Source organism: Homo sapiens, chromosome 18, assembly GCF_000001405.40.
Source record: "Homo sapiens chromosome 18, GRCh38.p14 Primary Assembly".
NCBI classification, from domain to species: Eukaryota; Metazoa; Chordata; class Mammalia; order Primates; family Hominidae; genus Homo; species Homo sapiens.
Genome location: NC_000018.10, coordinates 33,721,333 through 33,740,677, shown reverse-complemented (window position 1 = coordinate 33,740,677; position 19,345 = coordinate 33,721,333). Strand labels below are relative to the sequence as shown.

Below are 19,345 nucleotides of genomic sequence, written 5' to 3'. Positions count from 1 at the left end.
TTCTCTCTCAATTCTTTTTCCTTTAATGCTGGGTCTAAACATATGCATGTATCTAAACTGCTTTTATGAATTCAGTACATAGTCATAAAGAGGATCATTTACTATTAGAGGATTAGATTATAAACTGCTGCATAAAACCTAGAAGGAAGAAAATCTAATTACTCTTGAAAAATTAGGCTTCTAAATAGGAAAAGCCTATCTACGGAATTGCCTTTTGTTTATTTAATACCATACCTTGAGAGGGGGAACCCTTGGTTCCTCTCTGGGAGGCTGTTCTTTCTCAGGTGGGCTGCTAGATGATATGTTCCGGGTTGACTGATCATCTTCTATCCTAGCTCTCTTTTCCTTACAGATTCCAAAGCTGTGTTGCTCTGCAGTTTTTCTCTTTGATATCTCTGAATCTCTACTTTCATTTCTTATCCCATCAGGTGACTTGGAGGGCTCTGATGACTTGGAAGTATGTGAGGTTTCTAACCGACTCTGTGTACTCCCTTGCTTATGTGTTTTATTTCTAGAGCCTTCTGAAAATGGAGCCTTATCCACTGATGAGATATATTGCTTGTCCTGTAATTTAGCAGATGGAAGCTCATTTCCCTTATTATCTGTCCCTTCAGAAAAGACAGATAATTCCAATGGTGAAGGTAACACTTTTTTTTCTGTTCTTTGCAGGACGCTATGATTTTTAACTTTTATCATTTCAGTAGAAGCAAGTTCTGGAATTGAAGCAGGGTAGGGCTTCTCAGTGTCAACATGTGATTTACAGGTTTGCTGACTCAGGGTCTTATTGTGCAAATCTTCAGACGGAAATGCTTCAGGAGCAATGGAAGAAGAACTCATTATGATGGGTTCGGGAGTATTAGACAGATTCTTCTGCTGGGAGGTAAGGTTCTCTCCCAGAGGTTTGGCAGTGGCGGAAGACTCATCTTTCTGCGGGGAGAGTGGCTCTTCAGATACAGAAGGTGACTTTCTTTGCTGATGTGCCATTCTCTCATTTATGGAAGAGTTGGAAATTGGAGATGTTTCTGAAGGAAGTGGCAAACTGGATACAAAAGTGGTCTCAGAGGTGAGAAGCATGGAAGACACTGAAGAAGTTTCTGATGTTAAAGGTAAGTCAGACATCGGTGAGGTTTCTGATGTTAAAGGTAAGTTGGATACTGGTGATGCTTCAGATGTTAATGGTAAGTTGGACATAAGAGATGCTTCTGATATTTCAGGTGAAGTGGATATTGGAGATATTTCTGACATCAAAGATGCATGAAAGTTTTCATCAGTGGAATTTCTCTGGTTGTATTTGTCTGTATTTTCAGTGCTAGATACCTCAGAACAAAATGTTGTCTCAAGGGAGGCTGGAGTACATGATTCTTCTGATGTGGACTGTGTTTCCCCTCCTGGAGAAGGCAGGCTGGTACAGGCTCCCTCTGGGCTCTCAGAAGAAAAGGACGTTTCAGAGATGCAGGCATTTTCTGAAAGCTGTTCTTCAGGGTCACTCTGTAGCTCCATATCTATAGCAATTCCTTCATTTGGAAACTGGCCTTCTAGAGAAGATGACCCTGTTTTTATTTTGGGGGTACTGGTCTCTACTGCAGTTTCTGACTCCTTATGTTCTGTGTCACTGACATGAGTCATAGATGAAGTGGAAGGAATAAGAGAGTCACAGACTTCTAACTGATCGATAACAACTGTCATTTCTTCCTGGGGTGATTCTGACTTCCCTTCTATCTTAACTTCAATATGAGGCAAAGTTTCTAAAACATCATTCATCATAACACAGGATTCCAAGTTATCTTCAGGAGGTGCTATTTGGGGTTCTTCATGAGAATTGGTTAGACTTTCAGCCTCCTCAGAAAATTCAGGTATTGTCTTATGATTTTCATCCTGGCATTCACAGATACTAGTCTCTACCTCTTCTGCAATTTCCTCCTGAATTACAGATTCTTCAGGGATCAAGATATCCTCTGACTCCAATTCTGCCATTATATCTTTAGGTGGAATTTCTACCATAGGGCAAAGAGTAGCACAGAAACCAGGCTCTGGAGAAGCTGGGCTTTTCATGCTTTTTGGCTGTTGTTCTGCCAAGGCTGTCTGTGCAGAAACTGGAAGGCCAGAAGTCCCACATGAAGAACTACTTTGAGCTCCAGCGTTGTTTGGTCCAGTAGTGAGCTTCACAGATTCCTCTCTTGACATGCCCAGCCTGTACAGAAATTAGAAATAAATTATTGCTCAACCACAAAACATAAAAGGTACAACTGGGATCTCTCATGAATGTAGTATTCAATAGAAGTAAATGCATCAAATTACATTTATAATCATTAACATGCTTAATTTATGTAAACCAGTTTACAATGATGATGTTTCTTTGCTGCTTTTATAATCTCAACTAATACTCTGCTTTTGGTTAAGAACAGTCTAGATTTTTATTTTGTAAAGCAAGGAGATAGGAGCCTTACCAAGTGTTAGTAAAGGAATATGAAAATTACATACAACAAAGTATTAGAAAATATTTATAATCACTAACATGCTTAATTTATGTAAACCAGTTTATAATGATGATGCTTCTTTGCTGCTTTTATAATCTCAACTAAAACTCTACTGCTGGTTAAGAACAGTCTAGATTTTTATTTTGTAAAGTAAGGAGATACGAGCCTTACCAAGTGTTAATAAAGGAATAAGAAAATTACATACAACAAAGTATTAGAAAATATGAGCAGAAAAGCAAAATAACGTATAAAATATATATTTTTTAAATCTGCAAGTAGAAAGATGCTCTTATAATAGAAAATTATATAGTTTTCAGAGGATGTAAGAAAACCAAGAAATTAAGATGAACGGAAGATGAATGAAATTCATCAAATTCTGAAATTGAAATGAGTTCCAAAGATTGGTTTTTGTAAACTAATCTAAGAAGTATTACTCAATCACCTTATTTTGGCATCTAACTGTCTAACCTAAGACAACATGCAAATTTCATTAAAGAATAACAGAACATATTTGGGGTTATCAAAGTTATTCTACCAGCTTACATTTGTGTGAAGCAAGACTTTTAAATTCTTTTATGCAGATCTCTTACTGTAAAGATATTCCATACGTGATAGGTACAGAAAATCAAGAAATAATTGAGCATGATGTTCAGGTCTTAAGGCAAATCTAATCAGAGTTACAATCAAGGGTACTGTAAATCACTGTTTTCTATCATATAATTTACACTGTCAGCATCAGATGGTAGAGAAATATGCTGCTCTAAATGAAGTTAAATTAGCGTAAAGGCAATGAGAAAGATAAGCAGGAGAGAGAACATTTCTAGAGGAAAAAGAACATTTAAGTGAAGAAATATAGTCATGGTAACATTGATGCAAACAATACCTCAGTGAAAACCACTTTAACCTTTGCTTTTTAAAAATCCTCAATGTGAAAGGGAAATAATGTTGAATACAGTTTTTGGGTATTTGGCCATAGCCTTCTTTATTTAAATTCAGAAATCTCTGAAAAGGTAGAAAATACTGCCTTCATACATATTCTCTTTCCTTTCAATGTTCTCTAAGATGAATTCAAACTAAGCTACAATTTATAACTATACTATACTGAGAGTATCAGAAAAACAACATTACAGATAAATTTAAAGCAGAATAATCTGCAAGAAATACGGTTCCTTGGGACTAGGTCAAGCAGAGGTACCACTGATACTAGAATAAGTATGTAACATTCAGAAATCTATCCACTGGCAGCCAAATTTCTGCTAGTTGGTTAATAATATTATTAAATATACATATAGGTAAGTGTATATGTACAACAGCACTGTATAAAATATACCCATGTCAACATTTTCTTATTTTCACGGAAAAATAGATTTAAGATTGCATAAGGCATAGGAGGAAGATGTTCACAGTTCCCCATACTACGCAAAGGAAAACCCTGGCCTCCAGAAATCTAGACACAAGTTCACAAGCCAAGCCCTGTAATACTTGGCATTTATACAAGTGATGTAAACCAAATATACAATAATATATTACAAAGAGATTAGGCAAGTGAGAATCATAATAAATATCTAAAAAAATTGAAAACTAAATCAGACAGATCTTAACTGCACACTAGTATGAATGTTTAGACACATTTTTGAAAAAGCGTACAGCAATGAAAAGGCACGTGGTGTCAGTCAACTAAAAACTGGCTGGTGGTGGGGGAATAAAGGTAACCTGGGGGCAACAAAGAAGGGCAGTCAATGAAATGTTCAAAATGTATCTGCCATGCAACATGTGATGAAAGATAAAAAAGATCAAGAGAAAAGTCCAGTGATGTGAGAGCACAAAAGCTACTGATAAACTACAGCAAAAAAAAGGGCTAAGTAGAAGCATGCTTTGTATTCAGAGCTTGGTGACGGCAATGAGGGGGTCATGTTTATTTATAATATCATAGCTGTCATCTTCTAGGGAAGGGGCCCTAGATCTGATATCCAAGGGAATCTGGAAAGCCCCTAAGTTTCATGCAAAAATTGTGCATGTATGTGAATTTTTCTGAGAAGGATTTGCAGGATTAAGACCCCAAGCAAGTTATTTAATAACCTCACGGTTATAAACCTGGGGAAATTACTTAGCTTCACTTTCCCTCAGCTTCCTAAGTTAAAAAAATTATGAATAATGGTATCCATCTTATGGAATTGTTGGGAGGATTAAATGAAATATTTGCAAAGCTCTTAGAAACACATCAGAGCCAGTGTATACTCAATGATTATTTTTTGCATGAAAGAAAGCTCTCTGTAATGTAGGTCCCTTGAACTGAGGCTCTCTGGGAGCAGAGCTTAGGTAGTCCTACAAACAGTTGCATCCCTGGCATCCAAGAGAGTGTCTGGCACAGAGGAGATGTTAGATAAATACATTAAATTAATAAAAGAATGGGTCTATCACTAAAAAATTAAGAACCAATGCTTTGGAGGTACTATCTCAGTTATGCTTCTGCCATTACTAAAAAGAGAGCTCCCCGCATTTTCTTTCATAGGCAAAAGCAGAGGGAAGAAGGCTCCTAAGTGGTCTTTAATCTTATCCTCCAGGGTTCTTAATCCTGCTGGGCATCAGCATGACCTGGAAAGCTTCCAAAACACAGACTCCTGGGCTCAACTCCTAGATTTTGATGCAGCCAGGCTTGAGTGATATTGTTGGTGACTTCATGTGAAGACATATAACAACTAGCTTGTCACATTTTTAATCTTTGAGAAAAGACATTAATTATCTTTATTTGGTTTTGCTTAAAAATATATATATCCTGGCACAGCAATTAAAAACAGGCCTTCCTACTCAAAAGGACTGCCATTTAGGACAATTCATGAAGGGTAGCATACTCTGAGCACCCTATTCCAAGCAGTCTGTTAATTATCTAATTTCTTTACATGAAGAGCTCTCACGTGAGACTCCTTCTGGCATGTCTTTCTTTTCCCCATTTACAAGTGTAATTTTGTGAAATGAGATCACATGACATAGGTCTTGTTACCTGCAACCATCTGTGTCCTTTACACAAAATAACAACTTTCAAGTATTGGTTTGTATGTGGGAGTTGGAGCATAAGTTCCTCTAAGGGGGATCTGAAGTGACCGTCAATAGTAAGTTCTTAAACCCCTCCTTTTTTAGGGATCTGATTGTCTAAGACACTAATATTGCCAAAGCAGAATGTGTCTCTGTTAAACCTGAGGCAAAGGTGAAACTGCTTTCAGGGTTAGTTCATTTGCTACCACGCTATGATGTAAACGCTCATGTCACTTAAAAAAAGCAGCACACATACAGATAATAAAGACAGATGACATTTGAAGAGGAAGATAAAGCAAAAGATAACATTTCAGGCTCTCCCCAAAAGAAGGACTAAACAAAGATTAAAATGCATTAGACACAGTCAATATTTTTAGAAAAGTGTGAGAATTAAATACATGACTAAAATTATTTATCTATAAAGCATTAATTCATGAACATACTTGAAAACAGGATAATTTTACTCAAATCTATTAAGAAATTCAAAAGTGACTACTTTAAGATTTCATGTGCTATTTTCAGCCCAAAATAAAATTTCATGAACAAGTTATAAACCCTTGAAAATGCATTTTTTAAAAATTTGAGTGCTGATATCCCACTATAATTTCATCTGCAATTTCTTACACTGAGGGACTATTGCCTTTTATCACAGGTTTATTAAGTTTTACAGCATATGAGTGTGCTATGTGAAGCAGAGAATTACATTTTCATTTCTTTCTCAGAGAAATGAGAAAAAATACTCTAGTACTTACTTTTCTCCATAAAACCTCTCAAAGAATTTTTCTTTCCAAGGTTCTGTTTTCTTTTCCTTCTCAATTTCTTGCCTTATCCGCAACTGCATTTCTGGGGTAAACTCTCCTAAAAAGAAAATGCTAATGTATTGAATAAATGTGGTCACATCTTTTGCTAATTAATAAAGAAAACATGTAATTCATTTGAGTAAACTTTTATGGATCTTGAAAAGTACAAGGACAAATAATGATAACATTTCTACATCTTCTCTTTTTATGAACATCACTCAAGATGTTCATAAAAATGCTAAAGCTAAATGCTTTAGAAGAATGCTAAAGCTAAATGCTTTAGAAGAATGCTAAAGCTAAATGCTTTAGAAGAATGCTAAAGCATTTAGCAAATGTATTACCTGCTAGGGGCTACAAATAAAAGAGCGTATATTCACTGTCCTTAAGGAAATCAGTCTGCTGGAAATAGACTATAATACAATGTATGAAGCCCTGTATAAGCCATAATAATAAATGTAGTGAAATATAGAAAGTAAAGCGCTTAATTCTGCCTAGGTCGATTAAGGAGGACCACATATAGGAGCTGATTCTTGAGTTAGATTTTGAAGGTTGCTCAGGCTTTTATAAAGTAATTAAATCACAAGGCACAGAGATACAAATCCATATGTTTATGATCTTTTGAGTGGCCAATTGTGAGTAAAACAGCAAGAAATAAAATGGGAAATAAAAGCTGAGGCCAATTACCCAATAGATGTTCTAAAGAAACTTCTTCATTTTTCTATGAGAGACAGAGGGAGGTTCTGGTGGCATTCAGTGTGGAGGGAATATGGCCAAATAAGCTGTGTAGAAAAACAGGTCTGACAACAGAGTGAAGTAATTGGAGGACTGCAGTTATAGGACTGCTGAATACCACACAGGAAAGGTGGAGATTACAGCTGGGCCAGTAGCAACAGGATGCTGAAGAGGGGTCAAGTACAAGTAACAGTTCATGACCAGATAGGTGTGGAGAAAAGGAAGAGGGTCAAAGACATCAGTAAGGTTTTAAACTGAGGAACTATGAGGACAGTTGTGACATTACAGAAATAGAGGAAACAGAAGAAGGAGTTGAGAGGGAAGAGAAGCTCGTGAATTTAATATTAGGCATTTTGGTTAAAAGTGCCTGTTATTAGCTAGTGAGATCTGCTAAGCATTTGAAAATAAAACACTGGGGAAGGAGTAGGGGGATTAGGCAAGGGGGTGAAAGCCAGATTTGAAAATTCTTGGCACGCTGGCAATAGCTAAAACCAAGGTGGTGAATGAGGCAGCTTAGGGAATACTATGATTAGAAAATAAAATGCTGGAGGCATCAGATGGAAGAATAGGAGATCCTGATGAAAGCTGAGCAAGGGCTGGCAGAAACGTAGCCCAAGAAAAATAATTTATAATCTGTTTTTAAAATCTAACGTAGATGGTTTCAAGTCGGATGGGGTGAAAAAACAAATGAGATATTGGTGAAGGAACTTGAAATGTAAGGGCTGAGAACAGAAAATTGGAATTTGCCATCAGTAATTTTTTTTTTTTTTTTTTTGAGACAGGGTGTCACTCTGTTGCCTTGGCTAGAGTGCAGTAGCATGATCAGTAGGTCGATCACTGCAGCCTTGACCTCCTGAGCCCCGGTGATCCATCCACTTTAGACTCCCTAGTTGCTGAAGACTATAGGTATGCACCACCATGCCTGGCTGATTTTTGTATTTTTTGTAGACATGGAGTTTCACCATGTTGCTTAGGCTGGTCTTCACTCCTGAGCTCAAGCGATCTGCCTGCCTAGGCCTCCCAGAGTCCTGGGATAACAGGCCAGTGAGCCACCACGCCTGGCTAGTATTCTTCTCTAGGAGGAATATTTCAGTTGTGTAGAGTGGGCCCATCCCTGACTATAAAGTTTGAGTGTGTAAAGAGGAAAAATACAGTAGCATTGGGCATTCTGTAGTCTTTCAAGAAACTTGGTGATTAAAGGAAGGATAAGGTGAAGCAGTAACTTCCGCGGAAGAGAGCGTTAAAAGAAGTTTCTTTAGGTGCCAGGATGCTTAAGAGAATGCATAATGGATCAAACAATGTCATTAAAATTACCATCCGCAAGAAAATGTTGCTGCATCAAAAATTTTATGATGTCCAAGATAAAATTATGCTTTCTTCAAAAATATCTGACATCAATAATGTCAAGTATAACAAAAGAATCAGTGAACTCATTTGGAAAGGGATATGAGTTTTTACTAAATTAAAGTGTACTGTGTCGGGGAAAAGACTGAAAAATCAGAGAAAGGTACAAGCTCAGTACGGTATGTGTACTCCAATATGTCACATAATAATAGAAAATACAAATTTACCTTCTGCCAGTCGCTGTTTCCACCCTTGTGCTGCATATGCAAAGAATTCATTATTTAGAGCTGAAGTACTGAGGCGTAAAATTCCATCACTTCCCATCTAGGAAAATAAGCCGACAAAAACAAGGTTCCATCAGGAATAAGTCAAAGCAAAAGTATGCAGGAAAGAAGCAAAAATTGAGTGGTGTTGGGCAGTGTATGTGTGAGGAGGAGGAAGGGGGAAGGAGACAGAGAAAGGAGAAGGGAGAGAGAGAGCAGGAGCTCCAGCGAGAGCATGTGCAGGGTAGGAGGCGGAGAGGAAAGGGACCCAACAAAAGATTGGTCTCCTGGGATGAATACTAGGAGTTTAGATGTATGCATTGTGCTTGCTGATGTGTAGGAGACAGAAATAATTAGTGTTCTCCTTGGCTGGCTTCTTATGTAGTTGGTGAGTGAATTTAAAACATATAACAAGTTAAACAATGTCAAGCATTAGGTGAGTGAGAATTAAGAAGTTCAAAATGTAAAAGCTCGGAGAATATATGTATGTGGACATGAGAGTGTAGGAAGAACCTGATGCAGCCGCATGAGAGTCTAAGAGGATCCAGACAGAATGGTTAGAGATAAAAGCATAAGGTATACTGTCAACGAGCATGAGCATTACTGTAGAAGCAGAACATAATGAACTATCAGTAACTGGGGCATTTATGAAGGTGTGAAGATGCTTTCACCTGGTACTAAAAGGCCTGGCAAACTGTAACCCCAACTAGATCTTCAAAGATTTCCTGTTACTTCCACATATAGAATTCATATATCCTAAGCACTAATTATAATTACCTGAAAACACACTTTTAGAGATTTCTTATCCTCACTTTTTTGTTTGTTTTTGATCTTTTCTACACTCCATTTTCACCTATTGAAATACTATCACTCTTCTAAAATTTAACTCAAATAATGCCTTCATGCATGTTTCAGTTCAATCATCATTCAGGAGCAAAGGAGAATATTGAACATAAAGAACAAGTATATTATCTTAAGCTGGATAATGTCTAATCAAAGCCAGCAAAGAGAGACACTGAGAACAAATGCAAGATAAGCTTATTGTTGACGCTGTGACATTTATAGGGAGGCCACAGATTCGAGATCATGAGGGTCTTCATTTAAGATGGCACTGGTAACCACACTAAAATATTCAATACATTTGAAAATTTTCAGGCAGGATTTCATTTATTAATTGATTTATTGTTTACTCATGCTCAATTATTTCATCTTATTCAACAGATACTTGTTAAGCCACTCATATGAACCTATGTGCAGGGCACTTGTATGGGTGCTGGAAATTCACTGGCAATAAAGAAAAATCCTCTGTATTTATATTCTGAATATATTCTACATAGAACAAATACTTTTGGTCCTTGTACGTGCTTTTCACCCGCCTGGGTTCAGCATGACTGATGTACAGTTACATCACCATGCCAATGTCCCACCTCATAGGTTTACCAAAGCCCTGATATATGAATGAATGTCTCAGCTTCCCCATCTTTTGACTGGATAACTCTAGGACACTATCCTCTGCAGTGTGGTTTATGCACTCAACCAAATGGATGCTGTTTGGTGCTATGTTCCCAATGGCTAGGCTACATGGATCTGGGAACTAAGGGGCAGAATGAAAGAACCTTTGCACTATCATTCCCAAACAACCACTTGCAGACTGCATGCATTCTGTCCCCATAGCTCTAGTCTCTGTGGGATTAGAAGTCCAGGTTCCCAGCGGTGAATCACTTCTATTAGAGCAGGGTTTCTCAAGATTGGCACTCTTGTCATTTGGGGCCAGATAATTCTTTTTAGTGGGGGCATGTCCTGTGTAATGTCGGATGTTTGGCACCATCCCTGAACTCTACCCAGTAGATCCCAGGAGCAACTCCCTATCAATTTGACAACAAAAAACATCTCCAAACATGGCCAAATGTCCTGTGGAGGCAAAATCATCCCTAGTTGAGAACAACTGCACTAGTGGACAATGTAAGGGACCCACTGTAGCCAAAGCTTTGTCTGGTTACTTTGTATTATTCATTCTGTTGGACCAGTAGGCAAAGAAAGGAGACAGATAGGATAATCAATCAGCCCTAACCATCATGAGGAAATAAGACTGCTGCAATAGGGAAGGGATGGACAGAAGGGTGTTGGGAACGCTGGGGATTCCCTGGGACATCTCTTGGTGTTATTCATGCCTGGTGATTGACATCCTGACAGGGCAAGACAACCAATGGCTCAAACTCCTCAGGGATGGCGGTCTGGGCCACTTCTAGTAGAAGTGCCGACTAAGAGTGAGAAAATCAGAAATGAGTAATGAAGGAGGGAGATGATGAGCTACAACATCCTTAAAACCAGCTTGAGACTGGCACAGCCTATAGCTGATCCACTAAGCTTCTGGTCATAAGTCTTGTTATTTTCATTTTTTCCTTCTTTCCAATACATTAATATTATGACCAGTTACTTTTTAAAGAGTTAAAGACAGAGGGAGCTTAACGTGAAGCACAAGATCTGAGTGGTACAAGAGGAAGTCTACACCAAACATTTCTGATACTCCACTTTATATCATCTTGGCTACATGAGTACAGAGCAAACAGGGTAAACAGTTGAATCCACTTAGTTCCAACATAAGTCTATAACACTCTAAGACTTTCTCTGAAGCAAAAAGAGCTTCAAGTTCCCCTGCAGGTACAGCCTGGAGATGCAGAGTTTGTCTCTGGGCGCAACTCCCAGTTCATGAGAGACAACAGACTGTAGAAAAATGCTTCACTCTCCTGCTGTCCTCCTGTGGAACAGTTCTGTGGCTCATTCTACACATTTTCTCCAATAAATGAGCGACAGTTGTCCAAAGGGCTTCTCTCTTCCCTGTCTCACCCTATTTAACCCCTGGCTTTGGCTTTAAAATGACCTGTCCTACAGTTCTTGTTCCAGGCCCTGTTTCGGGAGGAAAGAGCTGAGGAGGTTCCTAAGACAGACACCAAACCTAAAGAGCTTGGGCTTCATGCTCTACATGGGAGCAGCCCAGTAAATGTACCATAGGCCCCAGGTTAGTGGCCTCCAGGTCCAAGTTTCCCCCTCAGTTTACTCATGCATATGTATTACCTTTTTCAATATAAGCCATGATGGTGGAAAGTTGTGAAGCACCACTCTAGGTAGTGGGAAACGTATCAAATTTTTGAAGCCAAGGAAAAAACCTAAAAGGTATGTGCTTAAAAAGATGACTTTGGTAGCTGTGTAACAGAAGAGAGAAGGAAAAATGAAACTGAGACATTGCTAGAAAGGGTATCGGAGTATTTCAGTAAAAGGCAACAAAAGAAAGACAAATCTGAGATATATTTATGACTGGGTGAAGGTCTTCAGGATTAAGAAGGTAAAGTCATTGGGAGAACATTTCAGGAGACATTAAAGTTGCTCAGGATGATTCTGGGAGATGGGGGTGGATGAAATGATGGCCAACCTTGAGTGTAAGTCTTTAAGAAATGTTATTAAGGAGTTTTGGTAAAGACAATAAGGATGAGGACAAGATAGTCATATAAATGATATACCTCTATGAAATCTGAAATTTTTCTACAAATATTAACTTTGAATATATGTCCTTGTGATTCCAGCAGCCTTGAGAAAATGGCAACTCAATTTAGAAAGATTAAAAGGGAAAAGGTATTCATATTGTACAGATAGATTTCAATTAGGACTAATAGGTGGAAGGCAAGTTCTCTGAAGAGGTAGAAAGAGTTACTCATTGTGGAGTACATGTATAGAAGACACAGTGGATTAGAATTATTGTGCATTTGAGGACTTAGATTTTGTCTTATAAACTTTTATAGTCGGTGTAACACTTAGCATCTTGCAGATGGTAAATAAAAGTTTATTGTACTGCCCTTGCTTTGAGTAGTGAAGGATTTAAAATTTAACTCCAGTAGCTGATATACAGAAGTTTAGTTCCATATATCCTACCAAGCCAGGGGCATGATTAGTTAGTAATTAAAATTTCAGCATAATTTTAAGACACAAATAAATACCAGATCCAGATTAGCTCTGACAGATTCTCGAGATCTCAGCACATGGAAATGCAAGGCAGTGTGACATAAACACATTCAAGAATATGAAAGCTAGCCCTGGAGGAAAATATTTTTATTTTAAAACAGAAAAATAATTTTAACTGCCAGATCCCCAGGCTGTAACAGACAGTAAAATTAAATACTAGTGCTGAATTTGATTTAGGAAATAAATGCCAATAAAGTGTTTTAAATACACGATTAATTTTATGGGTTTTAAGAAATACTGTACAAAAGATATATTTGAATGAACTGGAACAATAAACATTTCTGAAAGATTTATTTATTCCTAAGTTAGTTACAATGTGTTTTCCTGATTAGCCAAAATAGAAATGTTCATTCCCAAAATCACCTGTCTTATAATGAAGTATCTAACTATTGATAAGTTATAGTTCCTATTTCATTAGGAGGAGAAAAACTCTGATCATAATCTTTGTTCCAAAGGAAAATAAACACTAATAAAGAAAACTTACTCACATAGAGATACTTTTATAAAGGTTTATACTCTTTCTTGGTAAGTATATCATTTGTCTTTGGTATGGATCCTATTAACATACATTTTAAGGAATGGGTGCCAACTGGAATTCAAAGGTTTAAATAAACTTTCCTCCTTGCATATCATACAATGTTTGAAGAAGAATGAATGTTAATTCAGTGCAATAATATATTTACATTTAATAATAATCCTTTAAACCTCTATTTTCTAAACCACTTTTTTCTTATTTTGTGTTTCTTACAAGTGATTCTAACTGCATGGTATGAGAGTTGCTGAGAACAGTGAGTGCTGGAGTTAGAAAGTGGCTAAATAATAACGGTGCACCGAGAAATACTAAGCAATCTAGATTTCATTCTACAGACAACGAGGAGTCATTCAAAGTAAAGCCAAAACATGAAGAAAATATTCACATTGAGTATGTGCGGGGAAGATGATTGCGGCTCTAAATAGGGTATCAGGATGAGCCTCTCTAATAGAATTAATAAGAGACATTTGAGCAGAAAGAAATGCAAAAGCAAGCCACACAGCTAGCTGGGAAACAGCCAAGCGAAGAGAATATAAATGCAAAGGCCCTCAGGTGGGGCTTGCACAGAGGCCCTTGGAGCTAGAGAGCAGAAAGTGGAAGGAAGAGGAGCGGAGGGGACAGGATCACACTGGGCCTTGTCACCCACTATACAGACTGCCTTCTCCCTTGAGGGGGCTGGAAAGCCTTTGGAGGGTGTTGGTCCAAAGAATGATAAGAGCTGACATTTCCAAAGGGTAGCTCTGACTGCTGTGTTTAGAAAAATATTTAGAGTACTGCTGTCTAATAGTATAAAGGTGAGTCACATATGTGATTTCAATTTTTCTACTAATCATGCTGGAAAAAATAAAAGAAACATGTAATTAATTTCAATAATGCATTTTCTTAATCCAAACTATCGAAAATATTATTTCAACATATATTCAATATAAAATATTGTTAATGAGATATTTTACATTCTCTTTGAATATGAATTCTTCAATATCCAGTGGATCTTTTTAATAGCACATCTCATTTCATATTCTAGTGAGCCGTATTTCTAGTTCTCAAAAGCCTCAAGTGGCTAGTGGCTATTGTACTAGACAGCATAGCTTTAGCAGATAAAGATCTACCAGGAACACTAGTATATAGGGTTTACAATAATCCAGGAAAAAAATGATAGTAGCTTGGACTGGGATAACCGCACTGGAGGCAGCGTGAAATGGTTAGGTTCTGATTACATCCTGAAGGTTGAGCCAGCATAATTTGATGATAGATTAAATGTGTGGTATGAAAGAGGGCAGGCAAGGCTGATATCAAGAATTTTTGGACTTAGGAATGAAACGTAGAAAACTGCTAATTAGTTTTTAAAAGACAAGACTATAGGCAGAGGAGGTTTGTTTTAGCACTACATCAGGTTGAGATGCTGATTATAATTCCCAGTAGATGTCTTCCATATGTTACTCCTACTGCAGTGTAGAGGATGCCCTGGACAAAGGCAAGACTAAGACAGGGATTTCTGTTAACTAGCATCAAGAGCAAGCGGAACCAATGATGAAAAGTCTTAAGATTGTTCAGGTAGAGGAAACAGAGAGGAAGGAGAATATTCAAGATAAGTATACAAACCAGAATTGATGGCACTGAGTGATCACTGGGGCTGAGAAAGATGAGACAAAAAGATGTGGAAGATGCTTCCCAGGAATAAGGCTTGCTAACTGAGTACATGCTGGCACCAAACATCAGAACAGGAAAAGGCACAAGAGGGAAACAGTATTTAGAAACAAGAAATGAAGGCTTTGGATATGTTGATGTAAGGATATCTTGATGGCATCCAAATAAAGATGTCTAGTCAGTAACTGAGAATAGGGCAAGATGCTCAATGGTAAATATTGTTTTCAAATAGGAATGATTAGCAAATAAAGTGTAGTTGGAAACATGGGTATAGATGAGAACATTGGAAGAATATTTACCAAAAGAGAAGGTGGCTTAAAGCAGAGTCCTGAGGAATACTAATGTAACAGGAATGAGGAGGTAAAGTAGATCCTGTTAGGAAGACTAAGCAAAAGTAGAAAGAGGTAGGAAGAAAATCGGAGCAAGTGGCATCATATTGATAGGTGTAAGGGAAGAATGTGTTTGCAGAAGGTGATCTGTATTGTGGATGTGCTAATATCTATCAAGCCTTTTAGCATTACTAAGGTAAACAGTGTGTGCAGTATAGTACATTAGCTGTTGTGTCCAATACAAAAATCAATAGGATCTTTAGAGCAAAGACAACCCAGACAGTGAGACACTAATCAGGAGTCTAATACAATACAAAAGAGCAATGAGCATATGAACCATCATATGCTGTTATCATTGAGCCACTTATACCCTGCATGATCAAGCACCCAGTGCCCTTGTAGTCTACATCCCAGTACGAATAAAAGCCAGAGTATTGACTCTCTTTAAAAGGTAAATTTTAATTTTTTCCTTACCACTAAGTATAATTCAGATGGCCCAGGAGACTCTATAGACATGCTCAAGATTTATCCACAAGGGAAAATATTATTCTTTAGAATAACATAAAGATAGGCATAAAAATGAAAGAAGGCTGTTAAAAGGGATGGATTCCCTAAAGGAGATAGATCAGCAATATGCCAAAGACAATTTTGCAAATAACTTTTCAAAGATATTTCCAAAATTGCAGTAAGACAATATTACCAAAATTGTGTTTTGCAAAATAGGTATTTTAATAGGTAAATCCATCTAAAAGAAATGCAGTCTTCCATACAATAAATATAGCCTGACTGTATTAAATATGGTTAAGTAGTTTCATTTACTGTATTATCTAATATGCTAAAATTTATTTTAAATTCTGAAGAATAAATTATACAGTATTTCCCACACTTTTATACTTTATAATCCTCTCACAGAACAACCATCAGTATCTCATAGAACAACTATTCCCCAGAATAGTTTGGGAACTGATGCATTAAGAGTTGTAAAAGTATCACTGACAGAAACAGCCACATGTGATAAGCATGAGACAATGAATTTCCCCATGCTAGAGACTATATTCCTCTTTAACAAATGAATATAAGTTTCTAAGATCTGAAAATGGGACAATTTTGAGAATATTGTGAGAACCAAGTATTCAGAATAAATAGTGACAAAATATTAAAGATGATGTAATAAACTTTAACCTACAAGCTTGAACAACCTCAAGTTCAAAGCCACTGAAGGAAACAATTCTTTGCAACCACTGTCAAAAAAGTCCTAATATATATAATAATTTTTTAAATATTGTGATTATAATGCTGTAATCAAGACTCTATCTAGTCATATGAGGACTCAATAAAAAATGTTATACAGGCATATCACAAAGACATTGCAAATTCAGTTCCAAACTACGACAATAAAGTGAATGTTGCAAAAAAGTAAGTCACATAAACGTTTTGGTTTCCCAGTACATATAAAAGCTATCACTATACTGTAGTCTATTAACTGTACAATAGCATTATGCTAAAAATCAATTTACATACCTTAATTAAAAATACGTTATTACTTAAAATGATAACAGTAATCTGAGCTTTCAGTGAGTCATAATCTTTTTGCTGACGGAGGGTCTTGCATGGATGTTGATGGCTGCTGACTGATCAGGGTGGCTGGTGGCTGCTGAAGGCTGGAATGGCTATGATAATTGCTTAAAATAAGCTGACAATAAAATTTGCTGCATTAGTTGACTCTTCCTTTCCCAAAAAACTTATCTGTAGCATGTGATGCTGTTTGATAGCATTTTGCCCATAGCAGAACGTCTTTCAAAATTGGAGTCAATTCTCTTAAACTCTGCCGCTGCTTTATCAACTAAGCTTATGGAATATTCGAAGTCCTTTGTTTTTACTTCAACGATGTTCACAGCTATCTTAACCCAGAGTCAATTTCATCTCAAGAAACCACTTTCTTTGCACATAAGAAGCAACCCCTCACTTGTGAAAGTTTCATCCTAAGATGGCAACAACTCAGTCACATCTTCAGGCTCTACTTCTAATTCTAGTTCTCTTGCTATTTGCACCACATCTGCAGTGACTTCCTCCACTGAAGTCTTGAACTCCTCAAAGTCATCTATAAGTATCAGAATCAACTTCTTTCAAAGTCCTGTTAATGTTGCTATTTTGACCTCCTCCCACGAATCACAAATGTTCTTAATGGCATCCAGAATGGTGAATTCTTTCCAAAAGACTTTCAATTCACCTTGCTCAGAACCATCAGAGGAATCACTACCTATGGCAGCCACAGCCTTAGAAAATGCATTTCTTAAATAATAAGACTTGAAAGTCAAAATTACTCCTTGATCCATATGCTGCAGAATAGGTATTGCATTAGTAATATGAAAACATTATTCTCTTTTTACATCTCTGTCAGCTTCTTCAGTGACCCCACTGCATTGTCAATGAGCAGTAATATTTTGAAAAGAATATTTTTTCTGAGCAGTAAGTCTCAACAGCGGACTTAAAATATTCAGTAAGCCATGTTGTAAACAGATGTGCTGTCACTCAGGCTTTACTGTTCCATTTACAGAGCAAAGGCAGAATAGATTTAGCATAATTCTTAAGGGCTGTAGGATTTTTGGAATGGCAAATGAGCACTGGTTTCCACTTAAAGCCACCAGCTGCATTAGCACCTAACAGAAGGGTAAGCCTATCCTTTCAAGCCAGGCATTGACTTCTCCTCTCTAGCTATAAAAGCCCAATGGCATCTTTTTCCAATTTCATCTACATTGAAAATCTGTTGTTTAACATAGCCACCTTCATCAATAATCTTAGCTAGGTCTTCTGAATAACTTGCTGTGGCTTCTACATCAGCCACTGCCGTTTCACCTTGCACTTTTAGGTTATAGAGATGGCTTCTTTCCTTAAGCCTCATGAGCTAATCTCTGTTAGCTTCCAAGTTCCCTTCTAGCACATCTTCACCTCTCCAAGCTTTCAGAGAATAAAAAAGAGTTAGGGGCTTGCTCTATAGTAGGCTCTGGCTTAAAGGAATATTGTGGCTGATTTGATCTTCTAGCCAGACCACTAAAACTTCCTCCATATCAACAATAAAGGTGTTTCACTTTCTCATCATTTGTGTGTTCAGTGCAGTAGCACTTTTAATTACCCTCAAGAACTTTTCCTTTCCATTCACAACTCGGCTAATTATTTGGTGCAAGAGGCCTAACTTTTGGCCTATCTCAGCTTTCAACATGCCTTCCTCATTACTAAATGTAATCATTTCTAGTTTTTGATTGAAAAGTGAGACTTATGCAACTTTTTCTTTCACTTTAACTCTTAGAGGCCATTGTAGGGTTATTAATTGGCCTAATTTTAATACTGCTCTGTCTTAGGAAATAGGGAGGCCTGAAGAAAGGGAGAGAAATGGGAGACAGCTGGTCAGTAAACAGTCGGAACACATTTATGGATTAAGTTCACTGTCTTATGAGGGCATGGTTTGTGGTACCCCAAAACAAATGCGATAGTAAAAAATATCATTGGTCATATATCACCATATATAATAATACATTATCATATTTTAATAATGAAATATATTATAATAAAAATGCTTGAAATATTATGAGAATTACCAAAATGTGACACAGACACACACAATGAACACATGCTGTTGGAAAAATGGAATGATGCCCATAGACTTGCTCAGTGCAGGGTTGCCTCCAACTTTCAATTTATAAAAAAAACAGTATTTGTGAAGTGCAATAAAGCAAACTAAATTAAAACAAGGTAAGCCTGTATAGCTTTCATCCTTCCTCCAAATAAGTTTTAAAAGTATGCATGGAATCAAGCAAAAGTGAACACAAAGTAAATTTTAGAGAGAAATATTACCGAACAAAGCAGCACTTAGATGGAAATGTGGAAGGCTTTTTGTCATTATTGTTATGATGGAGTTTTAAAGTAGATGTCATAATAAAAGCCTCTCTTCTTCTGAGCTGTCTTTTTCTACTACTTACTGCTTTTGTGATATGTGTATGTATGTACATCTCTATATCCATCTAAACATATATACACATGTACTTTAATATACACATACATGGAACATGCATACACATTTATGCAATTATCTATATACATACATACATATATATATGTGTGTACATATAATTTTTTCTTTTTCCTTTGCAAATAGAATTTTTAGCCAATCCAA

At 37.0% G+C, this 19,345-nt stretch overlaps 1 protein-coding gene across 8 annotated transcripts in view, besides 1 other annotated feature; it reads right to left on the bottom strand.

The window, feature by feature from the left end:
* ASXL3 (ASXL transcriptional regulator 3) overlaps window positions 1–19,345 on the bottom strand; it is a 172,977-nt gene that overhangs the window by 10,518 nt on the left and 143,114 nt on the right. For all 8 annotated transcript variants that reach the window (XM_005258356.2, NM_030632.3, XM_011526205.3 and 5 more), the window contains 3 exons: window positions 8,614–8,710; window positions 6,263–6,368; window positions 235–2,191 (listed from right to left, as the gene is read on the bottom strand). In XM_005258356.2, the coding sequence (XP_005258413.1) occupies window positions 235–2,191; window positions 6,263–6,368; window positions 8,614–8,710 (2,160 nt within the window). The remainder of the gene's footprint in view (window positions 1–234; window positions 2,192–6,262; window positions 6,369–8,613; window positions 8,711–19,345) is intronic.
* Window positions 10,885–10,934: a silencer, noted in NCBI's record as "silent region_9391". NCBI's record gives its function as "represses an Ori minimal core promoter by ATAC-STARR-seq in GM12878 lymphoblastoid cells {active_cell/tissue: GM12878}" and the evidence as "EXISTENCE:reporter gene assay evidence [ECO:0000049][PMID:35858748]".